This window comes from Homo sapiens, chromosome 1 (genome assembly GCF_000001405.40).
Source record: "Homo sapiens chromosome 1, GRCh38.p14 Primary Assembly".
Lineage (NCBI taxonomy): Eukaryota > Metazoa > Chordata > Mammalia > Primates > Hominidae > Homo > Homo sapiens.
In genome coordinates, this window is record NC_000001.11 from 198,933,268 (window position 1) to 198,956,167 (window position 22,900).

The 22,900-nt window shown below is 36.7% G+C and overlaps 1 long non-coding RNA gene and 1 pseudogene across 1 annotated transcript in view, besides 2 other annotated features; one reads left to right on the forward strand and one right to left on the reverse strand.

Annotated features, from left to right (window-relative positions):
* Positions 1-4,162, reverse strand: part of MIR181A1HG (MIR181A1 host gene) — a 129,427-nt gene extending 125,265 nt beyond the window's left edge. Inside the window, exon 1 of the long non-coding RNA NR_040073.1 lies at positions 3,959-4,162. This is a non-coding gene — a long non-coding RNA (MIR181A1 host gene). The remainder of the gene's footprint in view (positions 1-3,958) is intronic.
* Positions 3,953-4,012: an enhancer, noted in NCBI's record as "active region_2287". NCBI's record gives its function as "activates an Ori minimal core promoter by ATAC-STARR-seq in GM12878 lymphoblastoid cells {active_cell/tissue: GM12878}" and the evidence as "EXISTENCE:reporter gene assay evidence [ECO:0000049][PMID:35858748]".
* Positions 4,413-4,462: an enhancer, noted in NCBI's record as "active region_2288". NCBI's record gives its function as "activates an Ori minimal core promoter by ATAC-STARR-seq in GM12878 lymphoblastoid cells {active_cell/tissue: GM12878}" and the evidence as "EXISTENCE:reporter gene assay evidence [ECO:0000049][PMID:35858748]".
* RPS2P9 (ribosomal protein S2 pseudogene 9) lies at positions 15,880-16,575 on the forward strand (annotated as a pseudogene).

Sequence of the window (22,900 nt, forward strand, 5' to 3'; positions counted from 1 at the left end):
GCAATCTGAATTTTATTGTATTGAAGTACATTAGTAGTCTTCAAGAACTCTTATTATAAAGTGACAACAATTATTTGGGGTCAGAAGACTATATTCAAATACATTATATATATATATACATATATATATATACTAAATATGCTACATGCATGTAAGAGACATACATGATCATAATATCAGCACATGCTAAACAACGATGTAGATTTAAGCTAAGTCTTCAGATAAATACTTGGATTAAAATATTCTAATATATGAAACAAAAGCCTCTTGACATATCTTTGACATAAAATGCCCACTGGTTGTTTTTGTATATCTACTATGTTTGTTCTGCCATTTCAAATAAATCATTGCCATTGTGTAAGAAGAATAAACTGTACTATAGTAAATTGTTCTTTCTCCGTTATGCTCTGAAAAACCATTTGTTCTTGAATTGGCGTTACGTAGTTCAACTATTTCAATCAAGTCCATTATCTTCTTGTCTTTGAAAGATGCCTTTTCAGTAACCTGTACCCAATGGGCAATGTCATGTATTGTTTTTTGAAAGTAGGTAAAATTTAAACACAACTATTTGCCCATTTTAATCTTTGATAAGGAAATTATATAATTAATCATCAATCTTCCACTATATGTTGGAAGAACTGTTTATGTCAAAATTACAGAGTTAGGCCAAGAATTTCTTAACGAAGTTATTTATTAGTTCATAGTGGAGTCTTACCCTATAGACTGTCATCTAACTTGTGTAGCTTGTTTTCTCTAAGTACAAAATGTGTCAATTCTTTAGCTACATACTTTTCTTAACAATAGTAACATGAAAGCAGAAAAAGAACAAAACATTTTTTCATTTGTTTTAAAACAGTCACAAAATACATTGGCAAAATGAATCTTATTAATTTGTTGACATATACGTAGTGCTGTTTATACATATATGCTTTGAAATTCCTTTCAGATTAATTGCTTTTTAGTACGCAAGAATGAAGAAGTATTAAGAGCAAATTCCAAAATTTTAAAACTCATGTATCAGATACGTGGTATGTAAAAACTGGTAAGTATAGCAGTCATTCTATTCTAATGAAGATTAATTTAAATTACACATCAAAACTTGGTAGTTAAGGGGTAGAATGTATACAGAGTTGTTCTATATCTACCTCTCAAATCTGGCAATATGTTTTGGTAAAAGTATTAAACTTTATTGGAGTGAAATAAAATAATGTACTGAAATGTGTGCATTAATAAAAATCTGAGCACATGTTTGGTGAGTAACTATCCAGTATAAGACCCATAAAACAGACTTGAAAATAAATACAAACCCTGAACTAGCTCACACGAAAGTTAATTCAACTACTATCTAATCCATAGATATACCCTTATAAAAGCACATGAGAGAGCATTACTTCTAAATCATTGGTACAAAACTGTTCTCTCCTAAAGAAATAAGTTAAAAGTAAAAAGGATTTAATTGTTACAAAATGTTAAGTGGCGAATAAAAAACACCAAGTCATAATAAATTGAAGTATTGTAGCATTTTTATCCAACTTGATTTCAAAATGCTCACCATTTCTACATCCTATTTATATCATTGAAATTCAGCCACCTTTCAAATGTTCAAACAGCATATTAATAAGGCTTCCTAGAACCAGGAAACTCTGACTACATCTATCTTGATAAACATACCCATCCTGCCCCATAAACACATCTTCAAAAGAAAGATAGCTGCGAATAAAATAGTCCTTTCCTGTGGGTGTCGGTTAACCCCACGAGCACGTGAACTTCCTATGGGCACACACCCAACATACATTAGCGATTAGGTGATTGAAAATGTTGCCCACAAAGGCAAAATTTTATATATGATGACATCACCAGCTAACCTGGATTTCTCTGTGATATAATGATATAATTTCCTGGTTGAGTGTGTGCATCTTGAGATAGAGAAAGAGAAAAGAGAGCGAGTATGTGTGTATGTATGTGTGTGTGTGAGGAGAGAGAGAGAGAAAGATGCTTAAAGAACAGCATCATCAGAAATGGTATATAACCTTCTGCAAGGTTTGCAAGAATCTTTCGACAGACCTTTGACTTGTTCCAGATTTCATGCAGCATAAGTTCATTCAAACATGCATTCCCCACACAAACAAATTACATTATGTTTAGTTAGCACACTATTAGTTCCTAAAATATTCTGATAAGATCTGTTGAGATGAGATTTCTACACCAAATGAGGCATGTGCATCTGTATGATGTGGTGCGGGAGTTGCAAAGTCCCTTGAGACCTGCCTTTGAATGGGTAAGACGTCTTGGTTTCAAAGGTAATGAAAGGGTTAAAAATTGAGGCTGTCTAGGGTAAGAGAAAGGGGATATTGTTGTCTTTAATCTTTCCGCAGTATGTGTAAGACTTCCATCCCGGATCTGCACATAGCAGTGGAATAGGCTCGGCATGCATTGCGTGCAAGCTCCTTGATTGTAGAAGGGGAAAAAAATCTGGCTGGAGTCCAGACAGGCTGGAGCTCTGTTGATCATTATGTCTAGCCTTCAGGTGTCTCAGCACACAGTGGGCGGCGGTGGGGGAGGTGTAGATAACATGAGAGCAGACAAAGAAAAAAAATGGTGTATTTTTATAAGATTATGTGAAAATTTGTATTTATTTTCAAGCCCTCCTTAAGAAAATGAATCCTAACGTCTTGGACTTTTATAATTAGAACACAGGCTCTGCTCTGGCAGCTCTCTTTAAGCCATAATTAGTTATGTCTGGAGCCTTTGAATAATTCCTTTCAATAATTGATGGAGTTAATATTCTCTTTTAAAAATGAGGAGGACAATGTTTTTCACAAACTCTTTTTGTTGGAGGCTTTGTCATTCAAAATCTTCATCAGTCATAATCACACTGGTGTGATTTGCCTTTTAATTTCTTATAAGACTTAGCTTATAACTTTTTAAGGATGTGGATAATTCTAAAAGTAAAGGCATAATGTATTGCTAGATTACTGTAGCTGAATATAAAAAGAAAGCAGTAATGCAGGAACATTCTATCCATTTGTTTCCAATTATTTTATAAATTTAAAAACTGCATTGTATGTTGCTTCTGTTTGAACTCCATCAAAAAACCTCACTATGAATGTAAGGAACTTAGATGCTAATCATATCTTTTGCTTGCTAGAAAGAAGAAATGCCAAATTATTTTATTCTTCAAGCATTCTTCTATAAAGAAGCTTCCGCATGCTTCCTCCCCACCCCCACATCCTCACTCCACCCTATTAGGAATTTCAAAAAAAAAAAAAATCTTTATACATGGAAGGCTAGATCCTAAGACAGAAAGCTGTCTTTTCCTTCTGTCTTTACACTGGCCACTTTCAGTCGCCTTCACTTCTGCTGGGACTTTATTTCACATTGTGTGGACTACAACACCGAAACCAGTTCAGTCTCTATCCTTATTATAAAATTAAAAGTGGTGGTTAAAAAAACATATAAAGCCCTGGCTTGAAGCCATTGTTCAGAATTTAAGAGCTATTTGCCCCCAAGTGTCTTTGCAGTCTTTCATAGCTAATTATAATAACTGTCAGATGTCTGGAAAGTCTATGGTGCCCTTGTCAGTGGAGTCAGCAAAGTTTGTCTTTTATTTTTCTTGGGGACAGAGCAAATCTGATTAGACATAAAGAGCAAAAAGAAGTGAACTAAGTACATATGCGTGTGCCTTCATTTTTTCTTATGAACAAAGCAGCACACTAGAGCGATGTTCCAGCGCACAGCCTCCTACAGCTACTCTTTGGAATGCCTGACTTTTATTTTTAATTCTTTATCCTCAACAGAATAAAGTATGCAACAATTGTCCCTGGAATATTTTCCTGCCAGCTGAATAACCTTCAATATACACATGAAAGAGTACCCTTAAGAAATCTTCAAATATTGGATGTTTATGACATAAAACTATTTTAATCAGTACACTTGACGGAAAGAAAGGTATACTTACAATTTCAAAACGGTTATTTGCTCTAGTTTCTTGTCCCCGGAGGCAGAGCAGAGGCTTTTGCCAGACTGTCCATGATGCAGGTGCAGAATCCCTGTTTTCATGCCGGAGAGGAAGGTAGAAAGTGCTTCATAAAGTCACTCGGAACTCAGCCACTTGTGCTCAGACATCCCTTGCTCCTGTGGAAGCTGTACTATCTGCAGTTCTGAATTGAACTAAATTACAGCCCATGTGAAAGACAGGGGCAGTGAGTCATGTGAGAGATACAGAGCTATCCTATTGGCCACAAAGACATAGCTTAGGCATTCTGCCTTTTCCACCATTGGTGAATAGTTAAAACTGAAAGCATCTAGATCCTCCTCTTGAGCTTATTTGTCCTCTATGTGTGGAAGAATGACTGTAGGATTTTACAGTGACAGAATTAGTTAAGAAAGGGACTGAAGTCATCCTTCACAGAGACTGGTGGGAGGTGATTGGAAGCTCAGCTTTTTTAAGATTTCTTTTTTCTTTTTATCCCCCTGCCCTGCAGTTTTGTCTATAATTTGCCTGTTTGCCTGTCAGAAAAAATGTTTTTTGTATTTTTTTCTCCCTTCAGTTAACCTTGGAAGTGACAGAAAGTAAATTATCATCATATTCCTTTGCAGAACTGTCATGTTTTGAAGCACAAAATCAATTATTTTCAATGACGCATTTTCAAATTTTATTTTTACATTTACAGAGACTTTATTGTAGTTCTAAACTAATAAACTAAATTGTCCATTAGTGACACCAACAACAGAATTAACTTTTGAGTAATTATTACATTTTGGAGAAAGGAGGGCTAGAAATAACTCTGGGAAATAATAAAAGGCAACAATATCAAAACAAATCAAATAAGGGGCTTTAACTAAGAAGGGATAAAGAAGAAATATATTTCTCCATCAAAGTCACTCTTTAATTTACCACTTTATGTAAGGCAGAATGTCCAGAAACTGCCAGTCAGAAGGTATTTTTAGTTTTGCTAGGATTCTTTAATTCACCCAATTCCTTAAAAATACTTAAATGTGTTTGTAAAGATTTAGAGGCTGTAAACTACCTTAGAAGTCATCAAGTCTCACATTCCCTATGTTAAAGGTGAGGAATGTAGCCTCTGACAGTAGTGACTCTCTTCATAACACTGATCCACCGTGTTATGCAAAATAAATGAAGGAAACATTGAAATAAATACTAGTTTGCTCTGTCTTACGTACCTACTAAGAGCCAGTTACCTTCTCATTTAATTCAATAATTGTACAACCCATAGAATAAGTTTGACTACTTTCATTTCTCCTCGGCAAAAACAGACTCAAATGTTTTACTACCATGGTAGTGCCTGGATTTGAACCCAAGTGGCTGATTCCATACCTACTTTTTCCAACTAGGTATGTGTCCTTCCAAATAATGATGGTTGTCACTTATAGGTTCCTTCCTACTGTATGGCAAGTAATGTGCAAAACCCTTTAGAGCCCCTCATTCAGTTCTCACAACTGTTAATGAGTCAATTATTCTATTTTGCTGATTTCATTGATGAGGAAATGAGGTGTATACTACTCAGTATTATGTAGATGGTAGCTGGTAGCATGTGATTCAAATCAGCTCTGATCTGTTTTACACACTATATGGATTCTCATCACAGTGTTAAATAAGACTTGATTTTTCCATTTTTTTTTTCTTGTCTAATATATTAGAATATTTTGGCATAAATATGGAATATTAACTGTGGTCATGTCATTATCTGGGTCTGTTTGGTTCAGACCCAGATCATACCATTAAGTGATCCATAGGGGACTGGAAATAAGCATCAGAGGAGCAGTCATGGAACCATATTTATCTTGGGGCCCTACAAGCAGCCTCACACAGGGTCTTGCAATCATAGGAGCTTCCACATCAGTTGAAGGGGCACATGCTCTCAGAACATCAGCCTGGGTATTAATGAGTCCTACTGCTGGTTCAAAATCTGAAACCCACTGTTTAGCAGAATAAGTACCAGATCATTTCAAAAATAGTGTCAAAAATTCCATTTCAGCCAGATATCAAGAGCCACCAAGGAGTTTCCTGAATTGTAACCCTCCTGCAGCAGCTGTAATCATACAAATGGGAAATTTGCATTGGCTCCCGCAACCCTTGTGGGGTTTGTTTGTAGATGGGAGGTGATTACTGAAGTGCAACAGCATCTTCACCTGCACTTTCTAAAGCACACATTGCTGTTGCTCAGAGTATCATATAGGACAGGTTAGGCAGGTCCCAGATAGCATCGGAAGAGAGTTTTTAGTCCTCTTCTGTTTTGAATACTTTTGCTTCTTTCCATAAGTGCTGCTTACTTTCCTGGATCCACAATCCAATCACCTACCTCATGCTGTCCCGAACCCTTCCAGGTCAGCCCTCTCATATAGTGAGCATGTGATAACATTATGTTCTCCTTATCTTCATCAAATAAGCTTCTCTATTATATCACAAATATTTCAAAGACTGAGCTGTATCTTGTTACATTTTAATCCTGCATAATGCCCATCACAGTAGAGATGAGATAAATATTTGATTTTCTTTTTTTTGGCCTTCAGTGACCTATTCACTGGTACACAACAGATCAGAAATAAATCTGGTGAGGTAATGCGAACATATTTTTTAAAAACTTAGCACTTTAAAATATAGTCTAAAAAAGTGAATCAGACACTGGAGAACAAGTAGGAAAATTATTATGAGACCACAGAGTCTCCCTAATATTGGTCTAAATCAATCACATACAACACTTATACTAACTAAACTGATGGTCATGGTATTAGCACACACTTAACCTCAGTCCTCTCTGCTGTCATCTACCAACTTCTCCTTCATTCCTCTCATTTACTGTTTTGCGGATTTCCTTTTTGTCTAGTCCTGCTTTAGTTCGGTGTTCACAAGGGCAATCTATTCAACACTCTAATGTCTCAGTTCAGCAACTTCCTCAATTTTGATGAGGTTCACCGCCACTCCCCATGACAATCACCCCATGCTCATGTGTTAAAGCTTGGAAAATTTTATTATTTATTTATTTTTTCTTTTTTTGAGATGGAGTTTTGCTCTTGTTGCCCAGGCTGGAGTGCAATGGCACAATCTCGGCTCACCCCAACATCCGCCTCCCGGGTTCAAGCGATTCTCCTGCCTCAGCCTCCCGAGTAGCTGGGGATACAGGCGCACTCCACCACGCCTGGCTAATTTTGTATTTTTAGTAGAGATGCGGTTTCTCCATGTTGGTCAGGCTGGTCTCGAACTCCCGACCTCAGATGATCCACCTGCCTCGGCCTCCCAAAGTGCTGGGATTACAGGCGTGAGCCACAGCGCCCAGCCCAGACCGCCTACTTTCTAATCACCATCTTCAATGTTTCCAACTCTTTATCACTATGCTTTGTTTTTCAGCTTCTCTGATACCTTCAATCCTTTGGTGTCTACATTTTCTCCTTATCTATTACCCCCTTCATTCCTTTTCTCCTCTTTCCTTTCATACTTCATTTTCTCTTAGAGTTCATGATTCATGATTTCATACAGTGTCCTGAACTTTCTTGCCCTGTTTTTCTTCTGATGGCCTCCTCCTCCCAAGGAAACCAGATTTTGAATCAATCCAACTGTTAAACTTTTCTTTTTTTTTTTTTTTTTTTTTTGAGACGGAGTCTCACTCTGTCGCTCAGGCTGGAGTACAGTGGCGCGATCTCAGCTCACTGCAACCTCTGCCTCCCGGGTTGATGTCATTCTCCTGCCTCAGCCTCCCTAGTAGCTGGGACTACAGGCATCCACCACCACGCCTGGCTAATTTTTCATATTTTTAGTAGAGACAGGGTTTCACCATGTTAGCCAGGATGGTCTCGATCTCCTGACCTTGTGATCCACCCGCCTTGGCCTCCCAAAGTGTTGGGATTACAGGCGTGAGCCACTGCGCCCAGCCTAAACTTTTCTAAGCTATTCTGGGCTTTCTAAGAGCTGCTGGAGAAAAGTCTCTTAAGCCTAGAAAGGATGTTACTATAGGCCAATAGTCTCCAGATTTGACCAGTTACTCAGTGCTATATTAAAAATCTATGTTTCCCCAATCAGCTCTTTTTATCATTTTCCACAATGCTATCCAATCTTTTCTCCACCACCTCTACTCTGCATTCTCACCAGATTGTGTTGCCTTCTTAGTCTCAGGAGAACCAATGAACTTGCCATATGTAGATTCAACTTTTTCTTATTTATTCTCATCACAATGGAAAAGTTGTTTTTCAACCTTTTCAAGGCAGATCACTCACTGTGTACATGGATATCAATCTCTTCTACCTACTTGGAAATTTTTTCTTAGATGTTTTTATCTTTCTCAAATTGTCAACATGTCCCTGCCTACTAAACTCATTGATATTAGCATTTAAAAAATGCTGTTTTTTTCTTTAATATTTAAAAATCTCCTCCATAGATACCAGGTCCTGCTTCCTGTCTTCTACCCTTCCTGGGTAAATCTCTTCAAAGATTTAGTGATACTCACTATTACTGCTTCATTTCCTTTTGTTTCTCTACTTAATCAATCTGGCTTCTGTCCTCATCATACTGATTTTTGAGAAATACCTCTGTGCTACTAAAACCTATGAACAATTTTCAGTCTTTGGCTTCTCTAAAATGTTTGTGGACATTTGGGTTGGGGCACGTATACACCATGGAATACTATGCAGCCATATAAAAGGATGAGTTCATGTCCTTTGTAGGGACATGGATGAAGCTGGAAACCATCATTCTGAGCAAACTATCACAAGGACAGAAAACCAAACACCGCATGTTCTCACTCATAGTTGGGAATTGAACAACGAGAACACTTGGACACAGCGCAGGGAACATCACACACTGGGGCCTGTTGCGGGGTAGGGAGATGGGAGAGGGATAGCATTGGGAGGAATACCTAGTGTAAATGATGAATTAATGGGTGCAGTAAACAAACATGGCACATGTATACATATGTAACAAACCTGCACGTTGTGCACATGTACCCTAGAACTTAAAGTATACATAAAAAAAATGTTTGTGCAGTTGGCCACTCTGTTTCCTAAGGTGTTCTCCTTCAGCCTCATGTGTTCTGGCTTTTGTCACATCTTCCCTATGTTTCCTGTGTTTCCTCCTCTTGCCTCTTGAATATTTGTATTTTTCAGAATCTCCCGTAGACCATATTCTCTTCTCACTCCACAAGACTCTCTTTCAGTCATCTCATTCACCTACACAGTTTCATTTGCAATTCTGTACTAATGATTTCCACATTTCTATCTGCAGACCAGAACTTTCTCTCGAGCACCAGAGCTGTAGATCCCACTGCACCTTCCCTTGGATGGCTCACTGATATCTCAAAGCCAATACGTCCAACACGGAAGTCATCATCTCATCTTAAAATTGTGTAACTTTTATTGTTTCTTATCTCAGCGAATAGTACCACTATCCACCAGGGGCCAAAGACAGAAAACAAGAGGCTAATATTTATCTCTTCCTTTCCTTTACATAGGCTTTCATATCCAGCTAATCAGCATGCACCATAGATCTCTTGCATCTGTTCACTTTGCAGCATCTCATTCATAGTAGGCATGCTTCAGTATGCATAATAGTTAACATTAGGTGTCCCTTTTGTCTCCAGTCTTGCTTAACTCCACTTCAGCATCCCTGTGACTGCAACAACCCTTTCTCAAACTTGCAGCCAAATGGATCTTTTAAAAAGGCAACCTGATTCTTTTACTCCTCAGCTTAATACTTTTTAGTGGTCCCATTACTTCTAAGGCAAACTGTGAATGTCCCTGAGGAGGCTGCTTTTGTAAGCTCCAGTGTTTTATTAAAGTAAATGCATGGAAATGTTTAATGTATGAATAACATTATAATTTACTTAGTTAAGTCTCTTAAACTTGCCCTCAAACCTTTTAAAATCTTCAAGTGAAACTGAGGCATCAGCAGTGAACAATATTTGTCCAGTGGCATGAAGAATTCCTAAGGGAACTAACGTTCTAGTCTTAGAATATGAAGACAGAGTAGATTCAATATCTTTCTTCTTCAAGAGGATTGAAAGCCCACTCTCAGCAACAGAGAGACCTGTTTTCTCTTCCCCCAGATGAATCTTCTGTCTTTAAACTCTAGAGGAGTTCTAGGAAATCTTACATGTTTTTATATTGCCTCTTTCCTTTCCAGGGGTCCGTGAAAGTGAGGGCATCCCAAACATACAATGCAATAATAGAAATTATAAGGTGGGTTAGGTCAGATGGCTTTCTAATTTTCTTGAGTTTCCCTCTTTTCTTTCACCACTCTTCATTCTTCATTATTTCGTAACTCAGTTAATAGCAGCCCAACAATTGGTCAGTCTGAAACCTGCCTATCTTTCTTAATTCCCTTCTTTCTCCTCTGCATGCCCACAGATAAGTGAATATTGTGGGGCTTACCTTTAAAATAGACTTGAAATGCAATTACCTCTCACCATGTCTTTTGCTGCTGTGCACACTGAAACCACTATTATCTCCCACATGCATTACTGCAATCATCTTCATCTGGACTCTTCTTCCACACATGCACTCACTCCCACCACAATATGTTCTCCAACAGCAGCTAGCTTTTAAAACATAAAATATATTATGTCCTTTTCTTGCTTAGAATTCTCCAGTTGCTTCCCACTACATCTACATTAATCACCCGATTCATTGCTATGACCTATAAGACATAACATCATCCTGTCATAATCCATACCTCACACTCTGATCTCATCTTTTGCCCACCCCTCTCTCATTGCACTGCCATCACACTGGCCTTAGTTTCAGACATTCTGCAAGCTGTTTGATTAGCTGTTCTCTCTGCTGTCAATGTGCTTCCCCTTGATCTTCATCTGCTGGCTCCTCCTCATCATCTGTATTTTTCTTCAAATGTCACTGCTCAGAGAAACGATTTTTTTTTTGGAATGATCCCTACACATCTACCTATCTAACTTTTTGTCTTGTTTTGTTTTGCATAGCAATTATTATCAGAAAATGTCTTAGTAGTTCATTTACTTGTCTACTATCTCTCCTTCCCCATCTAAATATGAGTCTTACGAGAGAATACTGGTCATCATTATTTTTTCTCAAGTGCTTAGAACTTTTCATTGCATATAATAAGCAATCAGGTCTTTGTTAAATGAATGAATGAATGCTTAAATAATTATAAAAATTATAAGATAATTCAAGTAGTATATTTGAGGGGAAAAATCACCTGTCACAATAAAATTAATGTAGTTCTATATATTAAAAAAATAAAGAAACACTATTGCATTATCACTGAAGGCTAAAACCCAATATACAAGTTAACAAAAAATATATTGATGTTGAATGTTCAGAGAACTATCTAACATTCTAATTTTGACTAAAATTTTTTTGTTTGCAGTAAAACAATTGAGCTCAACAATTCTTTTTTTCTTTTTTTTTTTTTTTTAGATGGAGTCTTGCTCTGTTGCCCAGGCTGGAGTGCAGTAGCATGATCTCAGCTCACTGCAAGCTCCACCTCCCGGGTTCAAGCCATTCTCCTGCCTCAGCCTCCCGAGTCGCTGGGACTTCAGGCGCCTGCCACCTCACCCGGCTACTTTTTTGTATTTTTAATAGAGATGGGGTTTCACTATGTTGGCCAGGATGGTCTCAGTCTCCTGACCTCATGATCCGCCCGCATCGGCCTCCCAAAGTGCTGGGATTACAGGTGTGAGCCACCGTGCCCGGCCCTGAGCTCAAAAATTCTAAATACACTTTATAATGGCCATTAAGTATATTCAGTTGTAAATAAATTGATTGAGAAAATGAAATTGAGTAAAGTACTCAAAATGTAGTAGTCATGAAAATAAAAATAATACCAACAATTTAATTTATGAGTATGTTTCCCTCACTCTTTCAAAATTGTATCTATGTGCTCTTGAAAAATTGTTCAAGGCCAAACAGAGTGAAGAGAAGTATATCTATGTTGTTGCCCTGTAAAAATATTTCTGTCTACATTAAAATGGTCAATTTCTATGTTCAACTTTCTGAAGAAAAACCTACTGAAAAATGAATGTTATTGATGGCAGAATTGGACATCCTGAACTACATGTTATTAAATAAACCCAAATACATACCACTTTATAAATCCTACAGTGTCTTTAAGAAAACATACTTACCAGCCCAGCACAATAGTTCACGCCTGTAATCCCAGCACTTTGGGAGGCCGAGGCGGGTGGATCACCCGAGGTCAGGAGTTCGAGACTAGCCTGGCCAACATGACGAAACCTCGTCTCTACTAAAAACACAAAAATTAGCCAGGCATGGTGGCATGCACCTGTAGTCCCAGATACTTGGGAGGCTGAGGGAGGGGAATTGCTTGAACCTGGAAGGCAGAGGTTGCAGTGAGCCGAGATCATGCCACTACACTCCAGCCTGGGTGACAGAGTGAGACTCCATCTCAAAATAATAATAATAATAATAATAATAATAAAAGAAAATATCTTACCAATAATAATCTTTTATATTAATATAGCGCTTGATACATCTCAAAGCTCTTTAACTCCCACTGTTACCTATATTCACAATAACACTATGAGGAATGTGGTACTAGTATTTTTATCTCCTTAATATAAAGAGAGAAACTGAGATCTGGAAAATAATATGATTGTTGGTAAGTCACAATGCAGCATAGGAACAGCACCATGTCTCATGATGACTATGAAATTATTCTGTATCTTGGACATGCAAATAAATTATTGGATTATGTTAAGATTTCTAATTTGACCTCAAACTTGCATACTAAAGGGGAGAATGATTGTAGAAATAGCTACTTTTCACAGGTATGCATAAAACCTTTAGTTATATAGTTCTTGCTAGTAATTTTGCCCAGTTTTTTGGGTGGTCTGGGCCTTGGGTGGGAAAATTGGGATCTGATGAAACGAGAGTTATCTGAGCAGGACGTTTCTTAACCGTTCTGAATTTACAATGAGTACATATTGGAATATGTGGACAGATCATAGGGAGTTGAAGTAAACAAGCTAAAAAAGGCTGCCTCTTATTTTGCATTGAACTCTGTAAGAGATGACATTTTCTGTGAACTTAGATTTTTTACCTTTAAGTGGCTGTAAGGTGTTTGATTTTTCTTGGTCTATTATCCTTTCTTAAGAGTGATGGCCAGATTTCTTATGAGTACATAAAAGCCTTCAGACACAGTGAATTTCTCAAATACATATATCATTCATGTAGAACAAATTTGAAAACTCATTATTTTGGTTTTTTCTTTTCCTTTTTTTTTAAAGATTGGGTCTTTCTGCGTTGCCCAGGCTGGTCTCAAACTCCTGAATTCAAGTGATCTTTGCTCAGCCTCTTGAGTAGCTGAGACAACAGGTGCATGTCACTGCACTTGGCATGGTTTTCCATTTTTCATGTGGCTGCTTTGACTTCATGTGGAAAAGAGAAGATAGGCAATCTCCCAATTTCCAGTGCCTAGGCTGACAAAACTCAAAGTATATTTTCGTTGTCTTCTAATCACAGGGAAAGAGTTATATAGACAGAATGCAGCCTGTGAATAGATACTCTATATTTTAGAATTAAATTGAGCAAAACAAAGTGTCATTATTGCCTAGTCTCAGATTAAAACCACAAAATTATATAAAAGAACAATGTTTTTATTAGAGTTTAAATTTCACTTATCAATACACCATTTGAGCATTTACGTCTAGATAACCAAACAGGAATGCTTCTCCAAAATTAACATGCACATGAAGTACTTGGAACCTTGTTAAAATACAGATTCTGATTCTGTAGGTCTGAAGCACTGTCTTCAATTCTGCATATCTAACAATCTCCTGGGAGATGCTGAATCTGCTGCTCTGCTGAGTACACTCATTAGCAAGGCACTAGGAACCATTTAGAAATCTTAGGGCATAATATCAGAGGCTAACTACTTAAAGGTAACTTAATAACGATCTCCAACAGGAGAGTTTCTCCCACCACACTCTTTCCCTTTTTCTTTTTATCCTCTGTGTCAATTCTTGTCCTCACCCTCCAACTTTATCATACCTTGCTATCACTTGACCATACATGACAACTTCAGGCCACAGCTATTCTTATGTCATCATCAGCCACATACTAGCAAAACAGAATTTATAAAAATCTAATTGAACCACTCCATAACTCCTAACGAAAGTTCTACTTTCTGCTATCTCATTTATCTATCCAAGGTGTTACATTTGTCTTTCATCCACAACTTTATTTCTGGTATGCTTTCACTTAGCTCTTGAATGATCAAGAGCTCAAAAACATAATAGCCAACTTTGGCTTTGTTTTTGTTTGTTTTTTTGCTATGTTTTTACACAAAAATAAATTTCAAAATAAGCTCCTGCTTTTCTGAAATGTTTGCTCAGTGCTCTGCTAGACTGGTTTTGTAATGTGGTTCTACTGGACAGCACCAGTATGAATAAGTATATTTACCCATTTGGGTATCCAGTGGTGAATGTTTTCCTATTCAACTAACCAGTCGTAAAAATTTTAGGCAATGTGACTACTTGGTGAAGAAATGTTTGATAAAAGGTGAGATTCTTATATGACCCTCAAATAACACCACTGAATGCCTATCTACTTCATTTTTGTGTTAGTATTTATGTTTCATCTGATAGCACACATGATTCAATTAAGCCGTTTTAGCCTCGTTTATATTAACTAAGTATGTATGTGGTTGTGACACAGTGGAATTCAAGGCTGAAGTGCATTTAACACTATTTGGGGAGTGTATGTATTTATGGAAACTTCTGCTGAACCTTCTGTTGGTGTTCCTTGGGTTTTCTTTTTACAAAGGTTTATTTTCTGTTATTTCTTTTCAAAAATATTCCTCAGGCCATGATAATGACTACTTTGATACTTTATTTAATGAAAGAAAGTATCTAATGGTCAATTAATTTTATGAAATTATCCCATTGACCCTGGAAAAATAAAATAGAGGCAAAGTCACAATAAATAACAGTTTATTTCATAACTCTAGCTTCCTAATGTAGGTGAATACATGGCTTTCGAAGACACACCAAATTATCTATTAATGACTTCAATTATGAAAATTGTTAGGCCTACCAGACATCATATTACTTTTGAGTTGTATCTATATATTCAATTCCAACTCTACTTCCAACTCTTGGGTGGTCTAAAATTGAGATAATTAATTAAACCCTTTGAAAAGCATCTGCCATCCACATTTTATCTTGGATGAAAGAAATTATTTCATGTTTTACTTAAGGAAAGTTAATACCCAAAGGCTGCACATTAGCACTGTCTTGAATTAGAACTTGCCAAATCTGAAAATTGGCTACTCACATGCAATCTTCTTCAATAACTTATGAAAATTTAAATTAAATTGGATTAATAATTTAAGTAGAAAGTTCTACAAGGAAGGCTTAAAATTTTAAAGTTTTAGAATAAGCAGAGAAAATATCAGATAGAAAATGTGTTGCTGGATGTGCAATTTTAATGATTGTCTTAAAAGACATTAAAAGCAGAGAAAAAAAGTCCTTCATAGGAACTTGCCTTAGACTAATGTACTATATCTAAAGAGGGCAATAAAATCATTGGAAGAAAGATTGGCAGGTAAATAAAATTATACCTGTCACCTGGACAAATTGTTTTCTCCACTTTTACAAATCTGAGACAATTTTTGCTTAAAAGGAATAGGGGTTTGGGGGCTGGGGAGGGGAACAGTAACATCAGTTGGCTGCTTTAACAGATGATCGTTATGTTAAAAATTTCCAATTTAGAGTATTTTCTGAGAAAACACCAAATGGCGGATGACGCAGATGCAGCGGGAAGGCGGGGCGGGGCAGAGGCCCCCTGGGGCCCTGGGATGGGGAACCGCGGTGGCTTCCATGGAGGTTTTGGCAGTGACATTCAGGGCAAGGGCCTGGGCGGAGGCCGCGGAGTTCGACCAAGTCCCTGGAGGAAATCTGTCTCTTCTCCCTGCCCATCAAGGAATCTGAGGTCATTGACTTTTTCCTGGGGGTCTCTCTCAAGGACAAGGTTTTGAAGATTATGCCGGAGCAGAAGCAGATCCGCGCCAGCCAGTGCACTAGGTTCAAGGCGTTTGTTGCCATCAGGGACTACAATGGCCACGTCGGTCTGGGTGTTAAGTGCTCCAAGGAGGTGGCCACTGTCATCCGCAGGGCCATCATCCTAGCCAAGCTTTCCATTGTCCCCGTGCGCAGAGGCTACTGGGGGAACAAGATCTGCAATCCCCTCACCGTCCCTGGCAAGGTGACAGGCCGCTCCCTCTTTGTGCTTGTGCGCCTCATCCCCGCTCCCAGGGGCACTGGCATCGTCTCGGCACCTGTGGCCAGGAATCTGCTCATGATGGTTGGTATCGATGACTGCTACACCTCAGCCAGGGGCTGCACTGCCACCCTGGGCAACTTTGTCAAGGCCACCTTTGATGCTGTTTCTAAGACCTACAGCTACCTGACCCCCGACTCTGGAAGAAGACTGTATTCACCAAGTCTCCCTATCAGGAATTCACTGACCATCTCCTCAAGACCCACACCAGAGTCTCAGTGCAGAGGACCCAGGCTCCAGCTGTGGCTACAACATAGGGTTTTTATACAAGAAAAATAAAGTGAATTAAGCCTGAAAAAAAGAAAAAAAAAAGTCCAGTATAAGCTTTGGCATTAGGGATGATTTCAAGGAATGAAAAGCAAATGATAACAATATGCTTCTTAGCTAGTGGAGATTGAAAACAACTGTACAGTGGGCACAGTCATCAATGAAGCATGCTGGAACCTGAGCTTCAGGTCTGGGTAGAAGGAGAAAAAGCAGAAATGGATTAAACTCAAACTTGAATACTCAAATGATTGTAGAACTCATCTGTAGATTGAAAACTTGCAGATGAAATACAAATCCACTGGCTCAGTGTAGACAAGGGAATCTGGAATGATATGGGGACATGGGAGGGAGGAAAATCCAGTCATACTGGAAGGTATTTACTTCTTTTTGTTTAGAGCGCAACTCCTGCCAGCAGCTCAAGATAGACAAATACAGTGAATGCCTATTGCATAGGATTCCCACACCTCTTTTCTCGGAAATTCCACTGTAGCCTTCCATTCACATGTTTGCAACTGAGGTAATCCCAGCCCACAATGTATCAGTCCCGGTTTGGGACTTGATCTAAGTTCAGTTAATCAAGTCTTTTTCTTAGGACTTTAAAATTGTGACTAAGATTTAGCTTCAGCCTATAGACTAAGAAGGGAAAAATAGCCCATTTTAAACAAGAATATACACTAGAGAGTCATGAAAGTCAATCATCAGCAAGAACAAGGAGTGACGCAGAGCCTAGAGATGTGAATGGTATACTTGCAGAGTTTTCTACAATGTCATAGATTTCAATCTTAATGCCGAGTTACGTTCTGGCCCTTGGGTTTCTTGACATCTCTTCTTCAATGACCAAAGACAAAGGACCCATGGATTGAGATCTGATATGGGCTCATCACAGAGACAAACATCTGGTTTTGATGCAACTTTTAATCATTATCATCATACCATATATAACTAGGCCTCACTGTACCTCTGACTTATTCAATACAGTGCATTTTAATAAAAAAGGGTACAATTCCTTTCCTTAGAGTCACTCCCATCTTCCTGTAACAATTGATACGTTGTCCTAATGTTTTTCTCCAGCACCATGAAAGGCTTAAATCCTTTTTTCACTTATAATATGTATTGTGAGGTTGAAAGAGTCAGTCAACAAATATTTATTGAGAATGTACTATTTACCAACATTATCAGATGGGAAAATAAAAGTGACAATAATGCTCTTTTCTTACCTGGCAAGAAGAGATAATAAGGTATGGCTAAACCTACCATACTAAACCCTTTATGGAACCATTGAAATGCAACTAAAAATGACAAACGTACTATTGGTTCTTCGGCTTCTTTAAACATAGTGGATTATATATTGTAATATATGAGTAATATATATTATACTATGTAGTATATGATATGTAGGAGAGCCATACACAAGGAAACAATCTTTTACATTAAAAAAATAAAAATCCAGTTATCACCAACACCAAAGCTGTCAAGAGCATTGCTCTCCAAATATCTCTTATGACTATTTCCCTTTGATTTTTTCTGTTCTTTGCTGCCTTAAATGGTCTGACTTTCATTAAGCTCTCTATGTTAGCTTTTTATCAATGTCTTTAGTTCATCTACATCATTTCACATCCACTGATGCTCTTGTTGAGCTAGGGTCAAGTCAACTCCCAGAGGAGCAAGAGAAACTCAAATGACACTGATGTGTTTCATCTGACTCTGACTTCCAACCCTAAATTCGGGGTTTGTCCAAATAGCCAGGGTTTTATAAACTACAAGATATCACTTTTCCTATTTGCTTACTTTCATGAAAGCAAAAGTGAGATCAAACTTCTCATCCCCCAAATGAATTTCAATTACAAGAACTATTTTCCCTCTACCCTCCATTCCCCAAAGCCACATCCTTTGCAGCTCCTACCAGTTCCAGATTCCTGCAAACCTTGATCTCTTCAGATCCATGTTATAAAATTCATCAAGCTCTCTGCCTCTCAACTTTCACATCCAGTTGTCCCTGTGACTGTTGTGCTTTGCAGACTGAGAAGACTAGAAACTTGCTAAGACCTCTCTGTAGTCATGAGCAGAATGATGTTACCGTGAAGTGTTCTGTAAGGACACATACCATTTCACTATAATGCTTCTAATATTCGGAACTACTAAACATATTTGAGCTGCCCTTTCATGCTATTTTGCAGAATATTAGGGCATCTAATTAAATTATGCATGCTGATTTGACCAAATAAGGCATTCGCTTCATTTTAATGGAGAGTGACATTTATTTTCCTATGCCAAGAGAATTCCACAGAGCTTTCACTGTAATAAAGGCTAATTTTTATCTCTAATATGATAAATATATAGATATAACCAAACAATTTCTACCTTAAAAAAATTTTAGTCATTTTCAAGAGGTACATTTTTCTTACCTACATTTTTAAAATTAACAATAGGCTTGATAACTAACTTCAACTTTTCATCTTAGTTTTATGGCATATATTCTTGTCATATCCACTAACTGTGAACAGAACATATCATTTGAATGCACAATTTAGAATCAACATAATTATTTTAAATGGGTTCTTTCGATGTTTCAGATGACTATTGAAATTTATACAATGGGGTCAAATTGCAATTTACAAACTTTTGTGCATATTGAAAGTGATTTCTTTGGCAGTGATATGTTTTCAACAGATGATGATGATGGCAGTTATCTTCCGCTGGTCTGAATTTAATTTCAGTCATTTTTATTCATGATATTATAACCCATGGCATATTAAAGAATACATAACTTCTAAAAGTGCTGAATTCTCTTTGAGATGCAGTTTATCGTCTGTTAAATACTATACATCATAAGCAAACAATTCATGTAGAAAACTGTGCCTGTTCTTTCGAGGGAGGTAAATAGATAAGCTGTCCAAGGTACAAGGAAATAGAGCATAGATAATGCAGGTTTGAGATATTCTCTTGCTTAAGTGATGCATTAAATCAATATTCTGCAAAGTCGTTTTCTTGTTATGTTATTTACTTGGATAGTGTCACAATTTTCCATTAAATTGTCTGTTTCAGAAGATATATCTTTCTCAGTTCCCAATTTCATTTGATCAGTATTCTTTAAACTCTTTCACTATATATGCAAACTATCAACTATTTCCATCACGTCACTCTTCTACTCAAAGACCTTCAATGGTTCCCTATCTTGTGTCATATCACATGTAACCATTTGTGCCTGATTTTCAAGATCTATAGTACCTGGGCCCTACTCTAACTATAAAACATTATTTTCTAGTATTATCTAAGATTCTGCCTGGTGCAATCAGATCATATAAACATGTCATGCCAGTCTCGCCCCACTGTAACTATTTTCTTGCTCCTTCTCTTCTTCCTCCTCCTTCTTGTTTGTGTACATGTGTGTGTACTATATATGTAAAATGCTCTCTTTCCTTCCTCATTCTCCTTCTTTAACCTTTAAAGGCTAAAGACCTCCTCTCTAAAGTTTTCTCTTAGTCCCTAAAAAATAATTGATTGTCATCTTTAAGAAAAATCCTGCATACATAGCACACACTGTCTCTAACCACATAACATTGGTCTTATTTACATTTTCTTATTTATATTTTTATTCAGAATAGCTATTATCATATACTGAGAGACTTACTATGTCTAGTCACTTGATATAAATGAATGCAGCAAAGTAAATAATTTATCCACTCTCACACATGTGCCAGAGTCAAGAAACCAACCCATGTTTATCTGGGTCCAAAAATCTCATGCCCACTCGCCCTACTAAACTTCCTATTTCATGTGGGTAATTTCTCCATTGAATGATAAATTCCATCTATTTAATGAGGGAGTAAACATGAAACACTGGCAGGAGTATGAGAATAAGAAGCAAATGAGTACGTGCCTTGTTTAAACTGCTGTGCTGACTAGGGGTCTGTGTCTTTTTGAACTAGATCCCCTCTGTCTGTTTCCTTAAAGCTCTAACATTCCTTGACAAGAGTTTATGCTTTGTTATTTTTCAAAGAAGATGGTAGAATGTTGAGAACATACCTAGCATTCATAAAAACATTTTCAGTGTAATGTGTTAATTCAGATCATGATTATAAGGAATTTTCACAAATCAGTTTGATTCATTGACATAGGAATTTATGAAAAAATACCTAATTGGTAATATCTGTCCTAAAATTTTCATGTTAAAAACTAAAAAATTGCCTAGCACTTAGAGGATATTGAAAAATGTTTGTTACATGAATTAATAGCCCAACTCTGAAACCAAACAGGGTAGTGTACTAGTATTATAGTTATAAAATGAAAGGACAGGGATTTTGTACATATGCAACTTTAAAATGACAGATTCATAAACAGAAATTCAAAAGTAACCAAAATATTACATAAATATTAAAAAGATAGATATTTTGTATTGCTATTTCAGGTACTCCCAAGTGTCGCTTAGCAATACTGGATAGCTTTATTTTATTATCTGAAAAATATCTAGGTTCTCTTAGGATAGATTTTACAAATATTTAGTTTGGTTTTCTTTTTAAGGTTATAAGTGATATAGCAGACTGATATGGAGTTGTAAAACATGTGACTAAGCATCTTGAAATGAAGCCATTATCCTGGATTATCCAAGTGAGTCCAATGTAATCACAAGCGTCCTAATGAAAGAGAGGCAAAGAGAGATTTGGCACAGAAAGAAGAGAAGGCAATGTGAAGATGGAAGAGACTGGAATCAGGTGGTCACAGCCAAGGAATGTTAGCAATCGGCAGAGGCTGGAAGAGGCAAGAAGGCCTCTGAGAGTCCCTGGAGGGAAGACAGCTCTTAAAACACCTCGATTTTTGCCCATAATACTGATTTTGGATTTATAACCTGCAGATATATAAGATAATATGCTGTTTTAAGCCACCAAGTTTGTGAAAATTTAGTATAGCAGCAATTGGTAACTAATATCTTCTTGCAGTTGACATAATCTTACATATGAGAAAATCTAAAATCTTCAACAAAAACTTTTGAACTATTAAATATATTGAGTAAAGCTGCAGGATACAAAATCACCATACAAAAATTGGTTGGATTTCTTTATACTAGCAATGAACTATCTGAAAAGGAAATTAAACCATTAATCTCATTTAAAATAGCATCAAAAGGAATAACATACTTAGGAATAAATTCAATGAAGGAGATCAAAGATTTGTAGGATGAAAACTATGAAACATAAATGAAGGAAATTGAAGAAGAAACAAATAAAAGGAAATATACTTTCTATTCATGAATTGGAAGAATCAATATTGTTAAAATCCTATACTACCCAAAGTGATAGAGTCAATGAAATCCTTACCAAAATTCAATAACATTGTTCATTATTCACAGAAATTAAAAAACAATTTAAAATTTGTATGAAACTGCCACAGACACAAAACTGAATTGTTAAAGTAATCTTGAGCAAGAAGAACAAGCTGGAGGTATCACACTTCCTTATTTCAAATTATATTACAAAACTATCATAATCAAAACAGTATGGTACTGCATAAAAACAGACACATAGAGCAATGGAACATAATAAAAATCCCAGAAATAAACCTACATATATAGGGTCCACTAATTTTTGACAAGGGCACTAAGAGGACACAATGGGGAAAGAATAGTCTGTTCAGTAAATAGTGTTGGAAAAAACATATCTTTTATGGAAAAGAATAAAACTGGATCCTTATATTACACTGTATGCAAATATTAATTCAAAATGAATTGAAGACTTAAATGTAAGACCTGAAATCCTAAAACTTCTAGAAGAAAACATAGGGTAAACTCTCCCTGACATCAGTCTTGGCAATGATTTTTTTTTTTTTTGAAACAAAAAAAATGATTTTTTTTGTTTGTTTTTATAAAAACAAAGGAATGGGCAACAAAAGCAAAAATAAACAATGAGACTATACCAAACTAATATGTTTCTGAACAACAAAGGAAACAATAAAAAAATGAAATGACAACCTATGGAATGGTAGAAAATATTTGCACACCATGTATCTGATAAGGGGTTAATATTCAAAATTTATAAGGGACTCACATAACTCAATAGAAAATATAAACAACCTGATTACAAAATTAGCAAACGACCTCAATAGATACTTTTCCAAAGATGCTCAACATCACTAATCATTAGGGAAATGCAAATCAAAACCACAATGTGCTATCACTTCATACTTGTTAGGATGACTATTATCTAAAAGTCAAAGATAACAGGAGGTGGCAAGGATGTGGAGAAAAAGAAACTCTTGTACATTGCTGGTGGAAATGTAAATTGGTATAGCCACTTTGTAAAACAGTATGGAAGCTCCTCAAAAAATTAAAAATAAAACTATGATATCATCTAGTTAT